This window comes from Homo sapiens, chromosome 5 (assembly GCF_000001405.40).
Source record: "Homo sapiens chromosome 5, GRCh38.p14 Primary Assembly".
In the NCBI taxonomy this organism is placed as follows: domain Eukaryota; kingdom Metazoa; phylum Chordata; class Mammalia; order Primates; family Hominidae; genus Homo; species Homo sapiens.
In genome coordinates, this window is record NC_000005.10 from 174,904,102 (window position 1) to 174,926,679 (window position 22,578).

A 22,578-nucleotide genomic window follows, 5' to 3' on the forward strand; every position below is an offset into this window, starting at 1 on the left:
GGTCTTGGGGCCAACACACAGAGCTGTGTAGAGTCTTGGCAGAGCAGCTGCTTGGGCATACACAGAGACCGAGGAGCTTTACATACTCTGGCCCCAGGATCCCTAACAAACGTGTTTGCAACTCAGGCAGGGCAGGAGGTCCACACAAACCCCTAGGAAGAGGGTGGAATCCAGAAAGCCAAGCAATGTCATTCTGTGGGTCCTCCTTCCATGGCACCTCACAAGATAAGACCTACTGACTTGGAATTCCACCCAGCCAATGGCAACAGGGTGAAGCCTGCCTGAGATGGGCCGGAGCCCCTCTGGGGAGGGGCAGGCACCATTTCTACTGCTAGGTTGACTCAGCTGTTCCAGCCTGTGGGCTTTGGAGAGTCCAAACAGTCTGGAGGAGGAAGGGTCCCCCCAGCAGTGCATCACAGTGGCTTTCCCAGATTGTGACCAGACTGCTTCTTTAAGCAGAGCCCCTGATCCATTTCTCCTCACTGGGCAGGACCTCCCGGGCAGGACCTCCAGCTGCTTCTGCCCACACTTATTAGGGACAGAGCTCTGCTCTCTCTCTGGGAGAGGAGAGGGCCACCACCTGGGTTGATTGGATGACTCGGCTGTTCCAGACTGTGGGCTCTGGAGACTCCAAGCCAGCAGGGGCAGAGGCGACTGTTTTGGGGAGGTGTGGCAGACTGCTTTTTAAAGCAGGACGCTGATCTACTTCTCCTCCTGGGGCGGGTCCTCCCATCTGGGTCCTCCCAGCCAGGGCCTATGGCCACCCTGCCCATGCTCTACAGGGCCGATAGAGCTCTAATTACTCCTGGGATGAGTGCCTGAGGGGCAGGTGAGGGAGCAACCTTGGTGGGGCTTCTCAGCCAGTCTAGCCTGTGGGCCTTGGGGAGCCCAAACTGATTGGGGACTGAAGGGATCCCCAATACAGCACAGCTTCTCTGCCAAAAAGTAGCCATACTGCTAATTCAAGTGGGTCCCTGATCCCATTCCTCTCGACGCAGTGAGACTTCCCAACCAGGGTCCCCAGCCATCTCATACAAGTGTGTTCAGGCCAGCAATAAGTCAGTACACCAATGGCATGGAGCTTCTAGAAGAAGGGGCAGGCTGCCATCTTTGCTGCTTTGCAGCATTCATGCATGATACCTCCAGGTACAGGAAGAAGCAAGGCAGCTAGGATCTGGAGCAGATCCTCAGCAAGCTGCAGCAGCCCTAGGGAGAGTGGCCAGACTACTAAAAGAAGAACAAACAAGCAGAAAACAACAGCAACAACAAAACCACAAAATCCCCATCCAAAGGTCAGTAATCTCAAAGAACGAAGGTAGATAAGCCCACAAAGATGGGAATCAATGCAAACATGCTGAAAACTCAAAAATCCAGAGTGCCCCTTTTCCTCCAAATGACAGCAGTGTCTCTCCAGCAAGGTCTCAGAACTGGGCTGAGGCTGAGATGGCTGAAATGACAGAAGTTGGCTTCAGAATGTGGATAATAATGAATTTTGCTGAGCTAAAGGAGCATGTTGTAGCCCAATGCAAAGAAACTAAGAATTAGATAAAACAATACAGGAGCTGAAAACCAAAATAACAGTTTAGAGAGGAACACAGTCGACCTGTTAGAGCTGAAAAACACACTATAAAAACTTCACAATGCAATCACAAATATTAATAGCAGAATAGACCAAGCAGAGGAAAGAATCTCAGAGCTTGAAGACTGGCTTTCTGAATTAAGACAGGCACACAAGAATAGAGAAAAAAAGACTGAAAAGGAATGAACAAAACCTCTGAGGAATATGGGATAATGTAAAGAGACTGAATCTACAACTGATTGGGGTACCTGAAAGAGAGAGAGAGAATGGAACCAAATTGAAAACATACTTCAGGATATCATTCAGGAGAACTTCCCCAACCTAGTAAGAGAGGCCAATATTCAAATTCAAGAAATGCAGAGAACCTCAGTAAGATACTCCATGAGAAGATCATCCCAAGCCACATAATCATCAGATTCTCCAAGGTTGAAATGAAAGAAAAAATGTTAAGGGCAGCCAGAGAAAAAGGCCAGGTCACCTACAAAGGGAAGCCCATCAGACTAACAGTGGATCTATCAGTGGAAGCCCTAACAAGCCAGAAGAGATTGGGAGCCAATATTTAATACTCTTAAAGAAAATAATTTCCAACCCAGAATTTCATATCCAGCCAAACTAAGCTTCATAAGCAAAGGGGAAATAAGATCCTTTTCAGATGAGCAAATGCTGAGGGAATTTGTTACTATTAGAACTGCCTTGCAAGGACTCTTGAAGGAAGCACTAAATATGGAAAGGAAAAACCATTACCAGCCACTACAAAAACACACTGAAGTACACAGGCCAGTGACACTATGAAGCAACTACATAAACAAGCCTGCAAAATAACCAGCTAGCATCACGATGACAGGATCAAATCTACACATAAAATACTAACCTTAAATGTAAATGGGCTAAATGCCCCAATTAAAAGACACAGAATGGCAAACTGGATAAAGAACCAAGACCCATTAGTATGCTATTTTCAAGAGACCCATCTCACATGCAAAGACATGCATAGGCTCAAAATAAAGGAATGGAGGAAAATTTACCAAGCAAATGGAAAACAGAAAATAGCAGAAGTTGCAATCCTAGTTTCTGACAAAACAGACTCAAAACCAACAAAAATAAAAAAAGACACAGGAGAACATTACATAATGGTAAAGGGTTCAATTCAACAAAAAGAGTTAACTAGTTGTAATATATATGCACCCAGTACAGGAGCACCCAGATTCATAAAGCAAGTTCGTAGAGACCTTCAAAGAGACTTAGACTCTGACACAATAATAGTGGGAGACTTTAACACTCTACTGACAATATTAGATCATCAAGACAGAAAATTAACAAAGATATTCAGGATCTGAACTCAGCTCTGGATCAAGTGACCTGATAGATATCTACACAACTCTCCACCCAAAAAGAACAGAATATATATTCTTCTCATCACCACATGGAACTTACTCTAAAATTGATCACATAATCGAAAGTAAAACACTCCTCAGCAAATGCAAAAAACTAAAATTATAAGTCTCTCAGACAATGGCACAATCAAATTAAAACTCAAGATTAAGACATTCACTCAAAACCACACAACTACATGGAAATTGAACAACAGGCTCCCAGAGACTCTTGGGTAAATAATGAAATTAAGACAGAAATCAAAAAGTTCTTTGCAACTAATGAGAACAAAGATAGAACATACTAGAATCTCTGAGACACAGCTAAAGCAGTGCTAAGACGAAAATGTATAGTACTAAATGCCCACATCAGAAAGCTAGAAATTTCTCAAGTTAACAACCTAACATCACACCTAAAAGAACTAGAGAAGCAAGAGAAAATAAACCCCAAAGCTAGCAGAAGACAAGAAATAACCAAGATGAGAGCTGAACGGAAGGAGATAAGACATAAAATTACTCTTCAAAAATCAATGAATCCAGCAGCTGGTTTTTTAAAAAAATTAATAAAATAGACTGCTAGCTAGGCTAGTAAAGAAGAAAAGAGAGAAGATTCAAATAAACACAATCAGAAATGTTAAGAGAGATATCACCACTCACTCCACAGAAATAGAAACAACCATCAGAGAACACTATTAATACCTCTATGCACATAAACTAGAAAATATAAAAGAAATGGATAAATTTCTGGACATATACACCCTCCCAAGACTGAACCAGGAAGAAATTGAATCCATGAATAGACCAATAATGAGCTCTGAAATTGAGACAGTAATAAATAGCCTACCCACTGAAAAAAAGGCCCAGGACCAGATGGATTCACAGCTGAATTCTACCAAAGGTACAGAGAGGGGCTGGTACCATTTCCAGGAAAACTATTCTAAACAATTAAAAAGGAGGGACTCCTCCCTAACTCATTCTATGAGGTTAACATCATCCTGATACTAAAACCTGCCAGAGATACAGCAAAAAAAAGAAAACTTCAGAACAATATCCTTGATGAACACTGATGCAAGAATCCTTAACAAAATACCAGCAAACCAAAAGCAACACATCGAAAAGCTTATCCACCACAATTAAATCAGCTTCATTCCTGGGATACAAGCTTGGTTCAACATATGCAAATCAATAAATGTGATTCATTACATAAACAGAACTAAAAACAAAAACAACATGATTATCTCAATAGATGCAGAAAAGGCCTTCTATAAAATTAAACATTCCTTCATGTTAAAAACTCTCAATAAACTAGGTATTGAAGGAACATACCTCAAAATAATAAGAGCCATATATGAGAAACCCACAGCAAGTATCATACTGAATGGGCAAAAACTGGAAGCATTCCCCTTGAAAACCAGCACAAGACAAAGATGCTCTCTCTCACCATTGCTGTTCAACATAGTATTGAATGTTCTGGCCAGGACAACACATGCAAGATAAAGAAATAAAGTGTATTCAAATAGGAAAAGAAAAAGTCAAACTATTTTTGTCTGCAGATGACATAATCCTATATCTAGAAAACCCCATTGACTCACCCAAAAACTTCTTAAGTTGATAAGCAACTTCAGCAAAGTATCAGGACACAAAATCAATGTGCAAAAATTGCTAGCATTGCTATACACCAACAACAGGCAAACTGAGAGTCAAATTATGAATGAACTCCCATTCACAATTGCCACAAAAATAATAAAATACCTAGGAATACAGTAAACAAGGGAAGTAAAGTATTCCTTTAAGGAGAGCTACAACCCACTACTTAAATAAATCCGAGATGACACAAACAAATAGAAAAACATTTCATGTTCATGGATAGGAAGAACCAATATCATTAAAATGGCCATACTGCCCAAAGCAATTTATAGATTTAATGCTATCCCCATTAAACTACCATTGCCATTCATCACAGAATTAGAAAAAAACTATTTTAAAATTCATATGGAACGACAACAAAAAAATCCCCAAATAGCCAAGACAGTTCTAAGCCAAAAGCATAAAGTTGGAGGCATCACGCTACCTGACTTCAAACTACACTGCAAAGCTACAGTAATCTAGACAGCTTGGTACTGGTATAAGAACAGACACATAGACCAATGGAAAAGAATAGAGAAGCCAGAAATAAGACTACACACCTGCAACCACCTGATCTTTAACAAACCTGACAAAAACAAGCAATAGAGGACAGGATTTCCTGTTTAGTAAATGGTGCTGGAAGAACTGCCTAGCCATATGCAAAAAATTAAAACTGGACCCCTTCTTTATAGCATATACAAAGATCAACTCAAGATGGATTAAAGACTTAAATGTAAAACTCAAAACTATAAAAGCCCTGGAAGAAAACCTAGGCGATACCATTAGGGACATAGGCATGCGCAAAGATTTCATGATGAAGACGCCAAAAGCAATTGCAACAAAAGCAAAAATTGACAAATGGGATCTAATTAAACTGAAGTGCTTCTGCACAGCAAAAGAAACTATCATCAAAGTAGACAGACAACCTGCAGAATGGGAGAAAATTTTTGCAAACTATGCATCTGACAAAGGTCTAATACGCAGCATCTACAAGGAACTTAAACAAATTTACAAGAAAAACAAACAACCTATTAAAAAGCCGGCAAAAGTTATGAACTGACACTTAAAAGAAGACTTACATGTGACCAAGAAACATATGAAAGAAGCTCAACATCACTGATCATTGATCATTGGAGAAATGATTTTCATGGTGCCCTTTGCATTTTGCAGCTATTGCTTAAGCTTCAGACCCAAAAAGAGCACTAGCTTTAGAGTCAAAGACCCCTGGGTTCCAGTTTCAGCTGAGAGACTGTGAGCACATCACTAGCCCACTCTGATCCTGTATCCCAGTTTTATAATCACCTATTTCCCATCAGTCGGGAGGCTGGAGAGAAAAGCACCCACTCTGTGCCCAGCACACAGTAGGAGCATAGTAAGCCTAAGCTCTCTTGCTTCCCCACTATCCTAATGTATTAGGGGAAAGACAGAGATGTGGGGAATGGCACCTGGGAGGCTCCAGCTGTATGCTTCACAATCTTACCTAATGAAAAATCTGAATTAGGCTTCAGTTTCCCGTCTACAAAATGAGACAGGACAGGAGTGGGTAGGAAGAGGAGGTTGGTTTAAGCTGGGCCAGTCTAATTCTGTAACGTGGGCTTCACTGTCGGGTCCAGCCCACTCTCCAGCCCACTCCCCAGCCCAGGCTTCTGAATGTCTTTTGGCCAAGGCCAAGTCTGTCCAGGGTCGGGATGAGGAGAAGCAGTTCCCCCACATAACCTGCAGGTGGCACTAGAGCAGCGCGGGAGCCGAGGGTTCCGCTCCAGCCTTCCTGGAGACCCGGGTAGGGCTGGCGTATGGCGAGGCAGAGGTGGTGCACCCCGTTCAGCTGGGCAGCGGCACGAGCGGGACTGCGGATCAGTTCACACCGTTTAAAATAGGCACATGAGTCTTCTGGCTAATTTCCTCTCTTTGGTAGGGTGATCATATGCTTTATCACCCAAATCCAGACACTTTGGAGAGTGAAAGGGGGCACTAAAATAATTGTACCGGGACAGCAGACATAAACTTAGCTGTCCCTTGCAAACAGAACATATGGTCACCCTACCCTCTGTCACTTTTTCTTCCTGGTTTCCATTCTTTTAATCTGCTTTTCTTTTTAAACACACAGCATTCTCTCCCCGAGCACCACTGTCTTTGAAAATGCCCTTGCAATCGCGATATTTTCGACGAGGCAACATCTGCTTTCACATATTGAGTCGGAACAGGCCCTCTGAACCCACCCCAAAGGCTAGTTTTAGCTTCTAGTCAGAAGACTCTGTTCCTTGGCTCGCCATCCCCATGACTCAAGAATTACAAATGTCAGACGTGGAACAGTGGCCCTTATGTCAACTTTGGTGCCTCTTTGCTAAATTTATTCCTGTAAATTTTTTTTTTTTTTTTTTTGAGATGGGGTCTCGCTCTGTCGCCCAGGCTGGAGTGCAGTGGCGCTATGTCGGCTCACCGCAACCTCCGCCTCCCAGGTTCAAGTGATTCTCCTGCCCCAGCCTCCCAAGTAGCTGGTACTATAGGCACCCACCACCGCGCCTGGCTAATTGTTGTATTTTTAGTAGAGACGGGGTTTCACCACTTGGGCCAGGCTGGTCAGAAACCCCTGACCTCATGTGATCCGCCCACCTCAGCCTCCCGAAGTGCTGGGATAACAGGCGTGAGTCACTGCGCCAGGCCCTATTGCTGTAATTTTGTTCTGAGTGCTCCTTTGTCTTTTGTCTCTTTGAATTTACGTGTATTGATTTATTGAATTGCAAGTAGACAAGTCCCATTAAGCAGGATGCTTACATTTCCAAGATCATCCCATTGCTCCATTCAAACCCAAATTAGCATGCTATTTAGCCCCTTGTTTCTGAACCCTCTTCACTTAATAGTCTCATAAACATCCATCCATTGCAAAAAGGACGCAAACTTTCCTCACTTCCATTTTTAGTTCATTCATTGCTATCCAAGTAACGGTTTGTCTGGGGGAGTCATTAGTAAAGAATTGTGCCCTTAAATTTATTGTTATAGTTGGATTCTGCTAGTTAATACCTTTCTTAATACCTCTCTCTCTCTGTCATTCTCACATTGCAACAAATGACTATGGGTTTCTGTCTCAACCTAAAATCCAGGTTAGAAATTTGGTTTTATCTGAATAAGTTATTAATAGATAATGTGAGAAAAAAATTAATTTTCTGAAACTTTTCTCAGCTAAGAATGACACTCATGGTCACAAATATGTATGTAAGCAAGCAGATATTGGGCTGTAAATATATAAACTCTTAAAATATTATGTTTGGAGACAAGATTTTCCTTTTTTTTTTCTTTTTAGTAAAGTATATTTGCTATGGTTGGAATGATTGCGTCTCCTCCAAAATTCATGTTGGAACTTAAGCCCCAATGTGATAGTATTAAGAGGTGGCGTCTTTAGGAGATGATTGAGTTGTGAGGGAAGACCCCCCTCATGAGTGAGATTAGTGACCTTATGAAAGGACTTGAGGGACCTACCTAGCTTGGTTTTCTTCTTTTGTTTCTCTGTCCTTTCCACCATGTTAGGACACAGCGTTTCTCACCTCTGGAGGACTCAGCATTCAAGGTGCCATCTTGGAAGCAGAGAGCAGCCCTCACTAGACTACAAACCTGCTGGCACCTTGATCTTGGACTTCCCAGCCACCAGAACTGTGAGAAATACATTTGTGTTTTTTACCCATTACCCAGTCTCAGATATTTTGTTATTAGCAGCACAAATGGACTAAGACAGTATCTTACGTAGAGTGAGGTGCATATACCTTAAGTTACAACTCCATGCTGTTTTGTTTTTTTTTTTTGAGGCAGAGTCTCGCTCTGTCACCCAGGATGGAGTGCAGTGGCATGATCTTGGCTCACTGCAGCCTCCGCCTCCTGGGTTCAAGCGATTCTCCTGCCTCAGCCTCCCGAGTAGCTGGGATTACAGGTGCCCGCCACCACGCCCAGCTAATTTTTGTATTGTAGTAGAGATGGGGTTTCACCATGTTGGCCAGGCTATTCTCAAACTCCTGACCTCAAGTGATCCACCTGCCTCGGCCTCCCAAAGTGCTGGGATTACAGGTGTAAGCCACCATGTCTGGCCAACTCCATACTATTTATATATGTGCCCAATCATGTAACTACCACTCAGCTCAAGATATAGAATGTTTCCATCACCACAGAGGGCTCCCTCTTGCCCCTTCTCAGTTGCTGTCCTCTTCAAAGTTAACTACAGTACTGACCTCTGTCACCATGGATTAGTTTTGCCTGTTTTTGAACTTCATATAAATAAAGTCATTCAGTATTTGCTTGTTTGTGGCTGGCTTCTTTCATTCAACATAATCCTGTGAGATTTAGCCATGTTTTGGGTACTGGTAGTTGATTATTTTTCTGGTTGTGTAGTTTTCCATACTGCATTTATTACCCTTCTACTTTTATCTCTAACTCAGTGTCTTGTGGGGTCTATTGGTCCTTTTTAGCTAGATCGATAGTAAACATCTTCTTATCAATGAAGCTTAGGAAAGTTTTAGAAGACAGAAGCCCAATAAAACCAAGACCCTCGAGCTTAAGCCAAGTTTCCTTCTCACACCTGCTTCAGTTGCTCTTCTTCATGTGCTCTTTTTTCCCTCACAAAGCTGATGGAAATTAAGAAGCCCAAAAGCTCCTTATCATGCTATCAGCTTAGGGATGCTTGTCATCTGAATAACAGGGTGGGTGTTTATAATCTGAAATGTTAAAATAACAATACCAAACATGTACACAGCACAAACTGCTGTCCAAAGAGCTTTACATTTATTATTTTCCTCAAAACAACTCTGTGAAATAGACACTATTTTTGTCATCCCCACATTTTAGAATGGGAAATTGAGGCACAGAGAGACCATGTAACTTTCCCAAGGTGGTAGAGCCAGGACTTGAACCTGTGTTTTCTGGTTTTAGAGCCTGCAGACTTCACCACCACACCATATTGTGTAGCATGGTACTTCATATGGTGAAAGTGTTTTCTTCTACTCGTTTGGGAGCATTTTCTGAATCATTTGAATCTTATAAATTTGCTTCAAAGAATACAAGTAAATTGAAATGGAAGACCTAATATAGAATGTGTGGCATTCATGAATAAATTATAGGACTCTCTGGCTTTAAATAATAATTATTTGCTTATCTTGTGACTTTTGTCAGGCAGGGCTGTAAAGCGCTAGCTTCATTTTCCTTCTCTTCAGTAGGAGAGGATGGGCTCAGAGACAGGCACAATTGATTGTAAAATCTCATCACACTTTCCCTCACCATCCGGAAGCTGGAGTTAGGTTTGTGAAATCTCGGTTGAGAAAGAGTTGAATGCCACTTGTAGCATAGCGAGTTTAAAAAAGATGGTTTTACTCTCCAGTTCTGTTGCACAAGGCCCTGTGAGTTTTGTCAATTAACGTATGTGACCAATAGTTTTCTCACAAAGATTATCAGCGTTCTAGAGGAAATTATCTTCCAGTTTTATTCTGCTGCTAAAGTGCTATATTTCTTTATAGATGAACTAATCAGTTCTTGGTCACTCGGTTTTCATTAGATATTTCCCTGGCTCTTTATGGTGTGCTTTATGTCTCTTTATGCCCAGCCCCAGGTTTTTCCTTCTAACTGCAAGAAAAAGATCATTGAAATTTTCTCTCTCTCAAACTCCTGGGTTCAAGTGATCTTCCCATCTGCCTCTTGAGTAGCTGGCATTACAGGTGTGTACCACTGTATGCACACACACATACACAAACATGCATATAGACACACAGACATTCACATGTATACACACAGAGAGATATACATATATCCACACATACTGATTAGATAAACATTTACACACACCAACACACACGTGCACACACACATATACACACCTTGTTTCCGTCTTCTCAGGAATCAGAACTCTCAGACAGTGGAAAGAGTCTTGTACCGTGAGTCAAAGATCGACTGTGCAACCTTGCACAAGTGTCTTCCCTTTTGAGATCTTGTTTATAACAATAAACATCCTTACCCACCAATTAGGGTTATTTTGAAGATGAAACAGAAAAAATAACAGAACGATGGCATGTTGTATAGTAAAAAAAAAAAAAAAAAAAAAAAAAAAAAAAATTAACCTTGACCAAAAAGAGGTCTGGCCTTTCTCCTAGACTCCTGCGAAGTAACCATCAACACGTAATACCTGATAGGACTATCTTTGCCTGCGGATCTTGGGTCATGATGGATTGTCTAATAATGAGATTTAGGGTGGAGACTAGCCAGGCCAGGAAAATGGACTTTGTGATTTAGAGTCCGGGCTTTAGTTCACCCCTGGAAGGACTGGAGACCGGAAGCTGAGAGCAGCTGCGTGGACAATCAAGCATGCCTCTATGATGAAGTTCCAGTAAAAACCCTGAATACTGAGGCTTGAGAGGAGCCTCACTGGCTGGGAATATTCCATGTGTATTGGCACATAGCAAAGCCAGGAGGGTAATGCCCTCTGACTGGATAGGGAGGGGATAATGGACACCCTATGCCTGGTGCCCTCCTGGATTCAGCCCTATGCCTCTCTTCCCCTGGCTGATTTTAATCTGTATCCTTTCTGTGCAATCAAACTGTAACTATGAACACAACAGCTTTCTGTGAGTTGTAGCCAGTTCTTAGAGGTAATTAAGCAGAGTTGATCTACTGCCTGCTTGAAAAAACTATTTTAAAATCCCTAAACCAAAGAAGGCCAGAGCTTTCATGAATCTGACCCAACAGATTTTGAAGCCAAAGTTGAGGACATTTGAAGTCAAAGCCAGGCCAGACAGAGAGTAGGCTCCTGGGAGGGAACAGGTGCAGTCCTGTTCAGGCTGCAGTGTTCCCGGGCTACAGCTGGACAAGGGCTCCCTCTGGGTCACAGCCTTTAGGGACAGGGGTTTGGGACTGGTCAACTATCTGATTTGTGGGACTCTGTTGATGAACTCAGCTGGGAAACTTTTGGTAATGGGAAGAGAATGGTTTTGTTTTTCCAAGTCATCTACCCGCTGCATGCTTTGATCCACATTGGAACGCAGTGTGGAAACTGCCTTTGAACAGACTAAGCCTCAACTCTGGACCATGTGTCCAGTTTTCTGGCCTCCAGCTTTGTTCACTCCTTACCTCTACCCATCACTGATGCCAGATCCATCCTCCCAAATATCCTTTTCATCATGTTACCCTCCCCACCACCTCATGGCACCTTCTACAGAGAAGGAAATGTTTCCAACCTCAGCCTGGCATTCAAGGTTCTTTCTGATGTGGCCCAACTCTCACCACACCACTACATCTCCCCGTGGGCCCACCAAATTGGATCAATTTTTTCTATTCATGAGCTGAACTTTCCCACCTCCATTCTGTTGCTTACACTGTGACCTTCCTGTGAAGGTTCTCTTTCTCCCTCTCCCCAAGTCCAAATGCTATAGACTGAATTGTGTCTCCCCAAAATTCGTATGTTGGAGCCCTAACCCCCTATATGATTGTATTTGGAAGTAGGGCTCTTAGCAGGTAATTAAGTGAGGGAGGAGGGGCAGAGCAAGATGGCTAAATGGTAGTCTCTATCAATCATTCTCCCTGCAGGAAAATCAAATTTGACAACTGTCTACACCAGAAAACCATCCTCATAAGAACCAAAAATCAGGTGAGGACTCACAGCACCTGGCTTTAACTTCATATCACAGAAAGAGGCACTGAAGAGGGTGGGAAGGACAGTCTTGAAACAGCAATGTCGCGCCTCCCCCATCCCCCAGCAGGGGCGGCTGTGGTGCTCAGAGAGAATCTACGCACTTGGGGGAGGGAGAATGCAGCAACTGTGGGACTTTGCGTTGAACCCAGTGCTGCCCTATCACAGCGGAAAGCAAAACCAGGTGGAGCTCATGTGACACCTGCCCATGGAGGGAGCATTGAGACCAGCCCTACCCGGAGGGGCTCACCCATCCCCGTAGTTAGAAGGCTTGAGGCTTGTGTTTTGACAATCCTTGGCCTGGCAGCCTATTATGCTCTGGGGCCCGAAATAAACTTGAAAGGCAGTCTAGACCATAAGGACTTCAACTCCTAGGCAAGTCCTAATGGCATGCTGGGCTCAGAGCCAGTGGACTCAGGGGGCACACGACCTAGTGAGACACCAGCCTGGGCAGCCAAGGGAGTGCTTGCACCACCCCTCCCCCAACCTCAGGCAGTGCAGCTTGCGGCAACAAAAGTGACTTCTTCCTTTTGCTTGAGGAGAGGAGGGGGAAGAGTAAAGAGGACTTTGTCTTACATCTCGGATACCAGCTCAGCCACAGTAGGATAGAGCACCAGTCAGAGTCGAGAGGCCCATATTCCAGGACCTAGCTCCTGAATTACATTTCTAGATACACCCTGGGCCAGAAGGGAATCTGCTGCCTTAAAGGAAAGAACCCAGTCCTGGCAGGATTCATCACCTTACTGACTCAAGAGCCCTTGGGCCCTGAATAGCCAACAGTGATACCCAGGTAGTATGCTATGGGCCTGGAGTAAGACTCTGAGACATGCTGGTGTCAGATGACACCCAGCACATTCCAGCTATGGTGGCTGTGGTGAGAGACTTCTTCTGCTTGAGAAAAGCAGAGGGAAAGGTAAAAGGGACTTTGTCTTGCAGCTTAGGTACCTCTTGGCCACAATGGGGTACAGCACCAAATGGGCTCTTGTGGTCACTGATTCTAGGCCTTGGCTCTTAGACAGCATTGCTGGACCTGCCCTGGGCCAGAGGGGAGCCAAGTGCCCTGAAGTTGAGTCCCAGGCCTGGAAGCTTTCACCACAAGTGACTTAAGAGCCCTTGGGCCCTAAGTGAACATTGACAGTAGCCTGACAGTACTAGTGTGTGAAGTATGTGACTCAAGGCGGGGTCCCTACCCCCGCTAAAACACTACCGCCAGCCAGCAGGCTCATGCACCTTGGCCTGTTGCTCCTAGGGGTCGCCTATGCTATTCAGCCAAGGGGACCACAGTGCCTGCTGGCCCAGCTGAGCTCCGCCTAGCCAGCCTGCCTGCCTCCTCTGCCATGGACTCTCCCTCTTCTGCTTTTCCCAGCAGGAAGGGCCCGGCCTGCCCTGTGCAACCTGCAGCCCCCCAACCAGCTGAGGCTCCCCTCTTAGACTTATAAGTCTATGGCCAGTGGCATCTGGCTGCCTGCCCTCTCTGCCTCCCCCAGGATCCCTTCAGAGGGTCCTGGGCTTTCAGAGCCCCCCGAGGGGCCTCTGGCGCTCATTCCAGCCATCTATCCCTTTTGGCTTCACCATCCTGATTCAAGCAGTGTTCCTTCTCTATCAGGCCTGGTGGCTGTTGCTTGGGGCTCCCCAAGGTGAGAGGTGGCCCTGGGCCAGTGGGTTGGAAGACAGGGTGACCAGAGAAGAGGGAAGCCCGAGGGGGCTGAGCATTGGTCTGAACTATGGGTGCACTGCCTGGGTGCCGTGGGAGACGCCAGGGTGTGTGGGGTGGGGAGGGCGGCCACAGCCCCCAAACACTACCTGTGAGGCTCCGGTTCCTCCCTCCACCTTCCTCCCCTTTCCCTTCCAGCCCCTCTTTTCCAGGAACCTTGCCACACCCGCACCTGCACCCTGTCCCCGCTGGCCCTCCCACAGCTGCTGCAGCAGGCACAGCACGCCCTTGCTCTGCGCTTGCCTCACCAGCTCTCTGCTTGCTTTTCTCACTCGTGTTTTCTCTCTGCTTTCTCTCCAACTGCCAGCCGATCGGGTCAGGCAAGTCCATCCTGTCCTGAGAGCCCCAGGCACCCCTTGACCTCTAAACAGATCCCTCCTCCCTTTCCAAGCCTGCCTGGGCAGGTGTCCTGTGACTTGACAGTGGCTCCCCCAGTCCCAAAGCCAGCCCCCTTCATCTGTGACTTAGTCTGTTGTAGTGGTAAGCTGACACATCCAGGGGTGACCGTTGCTGAAAACTTGTGCCCCTTCTGTGTGTATTGCTTGTTACCTGAATTCCAAAGTAGCCTGGGATCAAGGGTTGAATCGTTCATGATTTGCTCCATAACCTGTGTGCTTCTTATCCCAGACCAAACTAAGCTTTTTTCTAGAGTTCTACAATTTACAGTTAGTAGACAAGAGTGGTACTCAAAGATGTAGTCTCTGGACTAGCAGCATCAGCAGTACCTGAGAATTTTTTATAAGTGCAAATTCTCAGGCCCCACCCTGGACCTCATGAATCAGAAATTCCGGGGTAGGGCTTAGCAATCTGTACTGCAGTAATCCTTCCAGGTGTCCAAGGACCTCTGGCATACAGCAGATAGCAAAATGTGTTTCCTTCTGTTGGTCCTAAGCCAGGGATACTGTATGTTCTGTCTTGATATGAAACAATGACATGCAATTGAAAGACATAAGTCTCCTTCCTACTCCCACCCTCAACCCAATGTGTTTTATTTTTATGAGTTAAATAAGAAAACAAGTGACAATCAGAGATTTAGTCTAAAAAGTGTATTTACAAGTATCAGTTCTCATCCAGCCTGATCTCATACAATACCATTTACATCCTCTTACACTTAAAGTTGTAGAAAATGATCTTCAGGCACACTAGGAGTTCTATAATAAAACACCAGGTATATCAGAATGTCCAGACTTACTGGAGAATAAAAGTGGAATCAATGGCTATATTTTCAAATTGCATTCAACAGGAAATTTAAGTTTTTAATTTTTTTCACCTTCATACTTCCAAGTTAATACAATTAAATCAGAATAGTCCATTCTTTCAAAGCCTCTAGCCAGGCAAAGTTTTACTGTATTACTTCTTGCTTTCAATGGATATAAAGCAGAGTCCTGGTAGGCACATTTTGTATATTTGCAAAGATGCAGAACTAAACAATTCCATCTGTTCCATAGTAAAACAAAAGTCCTGTAAACCTTGGATGGTGAGTACAATACTTCAGCACTACCACCAAAACCTCAAATATGAAAAGATACTAAGAACACCACTAGCAAACAAAAGTGAGCTCTCAGCTGGGAGCAGTAGTTCACGCCTATAATCCCAGCACTTTGGCAAGCGAAGGTGGGAGGATTACTTGAAGTCAGGAGTTCAAGACCAGCCTAGGCAGCATAGCGAATTCACATCTCTACAAAAAAATTTAAAAATTAGTTGGGATGGTGGCACACACTGTAGTCCTAGCTACTTGGGAGGCTGAGGTAGGAAAATCGCTTGAGCTCAGGAGTTCCAGGCAGTGGTAGCTATGATCATGCCACTGCACTCCAGCCTGGGTGACAGAGCAAGATCTAGATAATTACAGTCTGCCCTGCTCCAGTTTACATTAAAATCACTAAGTTAAAATGCTTTCAATCAGCAGGATAAAAATTAAGTGAAATGTAACTTTAGAGCTTGGTCAGAAAATAGGCAATAGAGAAACAGGCACTTCCCACAAGAAGAAAAATGGCCAATAAGCATATTAAAAAGGTTCAAAAGTACTAAAACCAAAGAAATGTAATGAAAACAGTGAGATTTTCTGCTTAAAGACCAGCAAGGAGGACAAATGGAAGGGGGAAACTGGAGCTCTGTCCTTGTTGGTGGGAGTATAAACTGAACCAATTTTCCTGCAGGATAATTTGAAAATGTCTATTAAAAACCCTAAAATTGTTTTATGTTATTTTCCTCCAGAAATTCTACTTCTATGAATTCAGTCCAAAAATGCTTGCTTGAGTGAATTAAAATGTACATATAAGAAAATTTACCTCTGGGGTGGCAATGATTAACTTAATATACATCCAGCTATTATCATGATGATGCCAAGGATATATTTACCACCATAGAAATATGCCCAAAACATCATAAGTGACAAAAGACTATGAATTGTGATTCTACTTTTAAAAATGTTTATATGCATAAAAAAGTATAAAAAACAACAAACCAGAATGTTTTGAGTGTCAAAGATTTTTCTGTATATTTTATCTTCCAAATTATTATAAAAAGAATGTGATTTTCTTTATAATCTGGGAGCAGTATTATTTTCATTTATTTATATTTAAATTTCTTTTCTTTTCCTTTTTTTTTTTTCTCATGTATATATCACATGTAGTCTAGAGAGCTTGAATCCCTGCCTCTTGAGGTAAATCAGCCCATTTCTGTCTCTATAAATTTGCCTTTCTTGGACATTTGAAATCAATGGAATTATACAATATGCGGTCTCGTGTCTGGCTTTTTTACTTAGCTAATGTTTTTGAGGTTGGTCCATGATATATAAAATGTTTTGGTAGTTTGCTCCTTTCATTACTGAGTAGAAGCCCATTGATGTATATACCACATTTTATCAGCAGAGTCTTTTAAACCTGGATTCCAACTTCCTGTGGCCTAAATGAAACCCTCTGAACACAGGACTTATAGCGGAAGCTGCTGTGCTTGTCAAAATAACTACTTATCAGAACCAGCTTTGTCATCAGGAGCCTGAAATGCTGCAGAAATTTTTTTATCATTTTGCAACTTCTTTTTTACAAGCAACTTTTGTACAACTACACGTCTGGACTTTTGAAGCATCTGATACATCATTTAATAAGTATGAGCATGTGTCTGAGTGGACAAGAAAGTGAAACCATCCATGCTACATTGCATATTTTTTCCTCCCCCAGGCTGGACCAGGGAACCTCTCAACTTTCTGGAGTATCCTGTCTCCATTGACAAAGCTGAACAGTATTAAAGATCCTGCTGCCTTTGTTAGGCAGATTTGGAGGGGAGGCCCAATAGCAAGGGTAGAGAGGAAAAAGAGAGCGGAGCTTGTGGAACAGGAAGCCTCCCGGGGTCCGCGCAGGGCTCCCAGCTGTTGAGGATGTTGTGGATGGGGAAGTGCTGATCGTGTCCCGAGGCAGCCCAGCACCTCCATTGGGCCCAGAAGGTCTTGACTTTGGACCCTTACCCCTATTTCACAAGTGTTTAAAAGCTGTTTTTGCTTTTGTTATTTTCCTAAATAATCATTACCTGGTAGTTAGCAATTAATCTTTCTTTGGAAGAGGACAGGGCTTTAAAACTGAAGAACATAATTCTCATTAAAATATCAAAAATGGAAAAAAGTTACTTTGTAAACAATTTTCTATACAAACCAAATGGCAGCGGCTGAGAATCTCAATAAAATGTTAAATACATTTGCTGCTTTTAGAGAAATAAAGGAAAACAAATTAGAAGAAATAAAGAAAAAAATGCGTTTGCTAGCAGTGGTACCCTTTTGCTTAAGGTTGGGTCACTGTGCCATCATACTGTGGTGGGGGTATGTGTGGTGTATATGTGTGAAACTTTTCATCTCAGGATGGATCATAATCTTAGTTGCAGTTTTCCTTCCCAATAGGGTTACAATGTAGTAAAACGTGGGCTTGGAAGTGACAGGCCTGAGTGAATCAGCACAGCTTAAAAAAATCCAATAAAACTAACTTTTAATAATCCTGAGGTTAGTTTTTGAAATAATGGATACAATTACTTACTCTGAGCATCTGGTTATGATTTTGAATCAATAATACATACTGTCTCCCCTCTTTTTTTTTTTTTAATGGAAACAGAGGTTTCATCCAGAAAACCCCAAAACAGTGATTTTTTTTTTCTTTCTTTCTTTTTAAAGACAAAGTCTCACTCTGTCGCCTAGGCTGGAGTGGAGTGGTGGATCTCAGCTCACTGCAGCCTCGACCTCCCACCTCAGCCTCCCGAGTAACTGGGACCACAGGTGCCATTGTGCCCGGCTAATTCATCGTATCTTTTGTACAAATGGGGTTTTGCCATGTTGCCCAGGCTGGTCTCAAACTTCTAGGCTCAAGAGGTTCACCCACTTCGGCCTCCCAAAGTGCTGTGACTACAGGCATGAGCCACTGTGCCCAGCCTGCAGTGACTTTTTAAAACACAAGTTGAGGCCGGGCGTGGTGGCTCAGGCCTGTAATCCTAGCACTTTGGGAGGCTGAGGCAGGCGGATCACGAGGTCAGGAGATGGAGACCATCCTGGCCAACACACATTGAAACCCCGTCTCTACTAAAAACACAAAAAATTAGCCAGCCGGGCGTGGTGGCGGGCGCCTGTAATCCTGGCTACTCGGGAGGCTGAGGCAGGAGAATGGCGTGAACCCGGGAGGCGGAGCTTGCAGTGAGCCGAGATGGCGCCACCGCACTCCAGCCTGGGCGACGGAGCAAGACTGTCTTAAAAAAAATAAATAAGTTCAAGCATCTCTTCTTAACTCCTTTAATTGGAGGTAGCTCTTCTCTCTTTCTCCTCATCTTTGGTGTTCCCCAGAGTTTACTGCTGACTGGATGTACAACATATTTCAAAGTCAAAGCTGGGTGCGGTGGCTCACACCTATAATCCCAGCACTTTGGAAGTCCAGAGCAGGCAGATCGCTTGAGTCCAGGAGTTATCTAGACCAGCCTGGGCAACATGGTGAAACCTTGTTTGTATTAAAAATACAAAAAAGGGGGCGTTTCCGGGAGCGCAGCGTGGACTTGGTGTCGCCGCTTTTGGCATGGCGGCCTTTTCCGGCCCGGCTGGGCCAATCCTGTTGCTGAACCCGCAGGAAGATCCCGGGTTTCAGAAGGAGGGGGCGCAGGTTCGCAAGCGCACAACTCTGTGGAAAAAAACAACTTACTTCTGGAGTAGTCTGTGTGCGCCACCTACCTAACCTACTTAACGAAACCGGGATCCTTTCCTATTTCTCCCAAGGTGGCACCGTTACAAGGTTCAGACTATCCCGAAATAAAAGGACTGGAAATAGCAAAGGCTATGCATTTGTGGAGTTTGAGTCTGAGTCTGTTGCCGAGATAGTTGCTGAAACAATGAACAACTACCTGTTTGTTGGAGTGTCATTTTATGCCACCTGAAAAAGTACAGAAAGAAATCTTTAAAGACCGTAATATTCCATTTAAACAGCCATCATATCCATCAGTGAGACGGTATAATCAGAATCGGCATTTCGCAAAAGCTGCGGATGGAGGGGCCATTTAAAAAGAAAGAAAGATTACTCCAGAAGAAATTAGCTTAAAATAGAATTATGATTTTCCTTCTTTGATTTTACAGAAAATGGAAAGTACTTCAAAATCAAATTTTCGGACGTCTACAAAAGGCCAGGTTTTACTTAAGAAGAAAAAGGTTTTAGGCACTCCTGACACTCCTGAAAAGACTGTGGATACCCAGGGCCCCACACCGGTTTGTACATCAACATTTTTGGGGAGATGAAAATGTGAGTGTCTGAAATGAATGATGATGACGAGGAAAATGAAATAGTTTTCAAACAGCCCATATCCTGTGTAAAAGAAGAAATACAAGAGACTCAAACACCTATACATTCACAGAAAAAAAGACGAAGGAAAAGCAATCAGTGATTTTCAACGTATTATATATAAGATTTCTTCTGAAAAATATAATATTTTGATAAGGAAAAATACAAAAAAATTAGCTGGGCATGGTGGCTCATGCCTGTAGACCCAGCTACTCGGGAGGCTGAAATGGGAGGATCACCTGAGCCCAGGAAGTTGAGGAAGCAGTGAGCCGTGATCGCACCACGGCACTCCAGCCAAGTCAAGTCATTACATTTATCTTAACCTATCCTAGGCTGGCTTGAGAGGGATTTGTATTAAGAATACAATAGGCAATCTCACAGACATCTAAGTACAGAACTCAAAATATGACCACAGCATGGGAGGACTGGGCTGGGAGGTTATTTTTCTCTCCTGTGTGCCTTCACTCTGGACTTCTGCTCCATACTTGTGCTTTGCTCTGCAGGTGGTCCAGGCTTCTCCAGCCTCTGAGGCTTTGGCTTGCCCTGGCAGTACCCCTGGTCCCAGTGTTACTGGATCTTTCCATACGTATGATCCTCTGCAAAAAATCTATCGAACACTCTGTATCATTTCCAGTTAGCAGGATAGAGAATCTGATCTGCCTAGCAGTGGGGGTGGGAGTTCCCTAGTTGTCCCTCGATTTATAGTACTGCCCTTTCCAAAGACTTGAGGAGGGGCCGGATATCCAAAAAGAGAGTGTGGGTGGAGAATCAGTAATACAGTCTACTTCAACAAGAAAGTATAAAGTAGAGGCGTTGGCTCACGCCTGTAATCCCAGAACTTTGGGAGGCTGAGGCAGACACATCACTTGAGCTCAGGAGTTTGAGACCAGACTAGGCAACATGGCAAAACCCCATCTCTACTAAAAATACAAAAAATTAGCTGGGCGTGGTGGCACATGCCTGTAGTCCCAGCTACTTAGGAGGCTGAGGTGAGAGGATTGCTTGAGCCCAGGAAGTCGAGGCTGCAGTGAGCTGAGATCACAATGCCACTGCACTCCGGCCTGGCTGACAGAGCAAGACTCTGTCTCAAAAAAAAAAAAAAGTTTAAAGTGGAAGCATCTGTATGCATGATTGAAGTCATGCTTCCCATATATTTTTTCCATCTTGCCTTTTTTCTGTCTAAAACACTGTATCTTAAGCTTTTCCCTATGTTATCAAGTAGTCATAAGCATTATTTTAATGGTTGTATCAGAATCCATTATCTGGACTCATTGTCACTTATCCATCTGCAGTTGCTGGAGATACTGCCCTTTCTGCCACACTCAGTCACCCTTCTGACCTTGCTCTGTGTCCAGTTATCTACTAATACACATACTGGTCATTTAGGACTTGAAGTTAAGAATAAATAGTTATCATAGTACCTAACGTGTCAAAAAGAATGTAGCTTCCTAAAAATAGAATGGCTTGGTGGTTATGACAATTTTAAAGTAAAATGGACAAATTGTTATTTAAATTAACGTTTTGCTTTCTTCTTGTATCTATTTTTCACTTCTCTGTCATTTTCATGCATAAAGTTTCATTTGGAAGGAGTTTTATTTCAAAATAGAAATAGACATGAGAATGGGAACTCTGAAAGGTTCAACTTTCTAGTCATTAGTTTCCTAAAACTGTCACAAAAGCTACTTATAGTCAGTCAGTCATGATTGGCCTGTATTGAAAGTGCGTTAACATTATGTACAACTTAAGCACTATACTTTCTATCAGATACGGAAAAATAGGTAGTGTGTTTGGAAAAGTATTGGGCTAGGAGTCAGGAGCTTGACTGTTAGTCCCAACCCTGCTTCTTCAGCTGAGCACCCCTAGGCAATAATTCAGCAGCTATTTAAGTACCTAATGAGTTTCAGGCTTTGTAGTTGGGCTGGGAATATAGACAATCATGCATTCATGATTCTCCAAGCTCCCTTCCTCACCCCAGCTCACAGTGAGCTCTCTTATGCATTGTGTAAATTTGTCTTCTAACAGGCCCCAACTCTCTCCCCAACCTGCTTCCCAGGGCAGTTGTGAGGATCAAAAGAGAGAGAATATGTGTGAAAGCAAATTGTAAATGATTTTAAAATGCAATAAAAATATTATTTAAAGATCCTTAGAATTTTAAATAAACGGTACATTAACCTGAGTTCTTTTTTTTTTTTTTTTTGAGACAGAGTCTTGCTCTGTCGCCCAGGCTGGAGTGCAGTGGCGTGAACTCTGCTCACTGCAAGCTCTGCCTCCCGGGTTCATGCCAGTCTCCTGTCTCAGCCTCCCGAGTAACTGGGACTACAGGCGCCAGCCACAACATCTGGCTAATTTTTGTATTTTTAGTAGAGACAGGGTTTCACCATGTTAGCCAGGATGGTCTCGATCTCCTGACCTCGTGATCCACCCACCTTGGCCTCCCAAAGTGCTGGGATTACAGGCATGAACCACCGCGCCCGGCCTTGTAAGCTGTACAATGGACCACTGATATGGTTGAAAATCTTGGCTTGATTATTCTCCAAGACAATGATACCGTGGTTTGTGTGATTAATTTTCTAAAATTGCCAGCCAAAAAAAACCAAAACCTTTTTTGAGTTGAATGACTGGATCAGTCAAAGGAAAGTTGACCGTATAATGGAGAAATGTTTTCTGTGTTCACTAACAGCGTGCCTTTGTTTGATTCCAGCTGCAGCATATCATGAGTGATGAGATCTGTGTGCAGGTGACTGTCCTTTACGTGGCAGAAAATAATAATGGGGCCACCGGAGGCCAGCCAAACACATAGAACTCAAGTAGCCTCCTGGAGTCAACGTGTCAGCAGA

General features: G+C 43.5%; 1 long non-coding RNA gene and 1 pseudogene across 1 annotated transcript in view, besides 2 other annotated features; one reads left to right on the forward strand and one right to left on the reverse strand.

The window, feature by feature from the left end:
• Window positions 13,125–13,864: an enhancer, noted in NCBI's record as "H3K4me1 hESC enhancer chr5:174344229-174344968 (GRCh37/hg19 assembly coordinates)". NCBI's record gives its function as "activates a minimal SCP1, AML or CMV promoter by ChIP-STARR-seq in naive H9 embryonic stem cells {active_cell/tissue: H9 hESC(naive)}" and the evidence as "EXISTENCE:reporter gene assay evidence [ECO:0000049][PMID:30033119]".
• Window positions 13,865–14,604: an enhancer, noted in NCBI's record as "H3K4me1 hESC enhancer chr5:174344969-174345708 (GRCh37/hg19 assembly coordinates)". NCBI's record gives its function as "activates a minimal SCP1, AML or CMV promoter by ChIP-STARR-seq in naive H9 embryonic stem cells {active_cell/tissue: H9 hESC(naive)}" and the evidence as "EXISTENCE:reporter gene assay evidence [ECO:0000049][PMID:30033119]".
• LINC01951 (long intergenic non-protein coding RNA 1951) overlaps window positions 14,981–22,578 on the reverse strand; it is a 76,650-nt gene continuing 69,052 nt past the window's right edge. Inside the window, exon 3 of the long non-coding RNA NR_046113.1 lies at window positions 14,981–15,624. This is a non-coding gene — a long non-coding RNA (long intergenic non-protein coding RNA 1951). The remainder of the gene's footprint in view (window positions 15,625–22,578) is intronic.
• NIFKP2 (NIFK pseudogene 2) lies at window positions 18,963–19,898 on the forward strand (annotated as a pseudogene).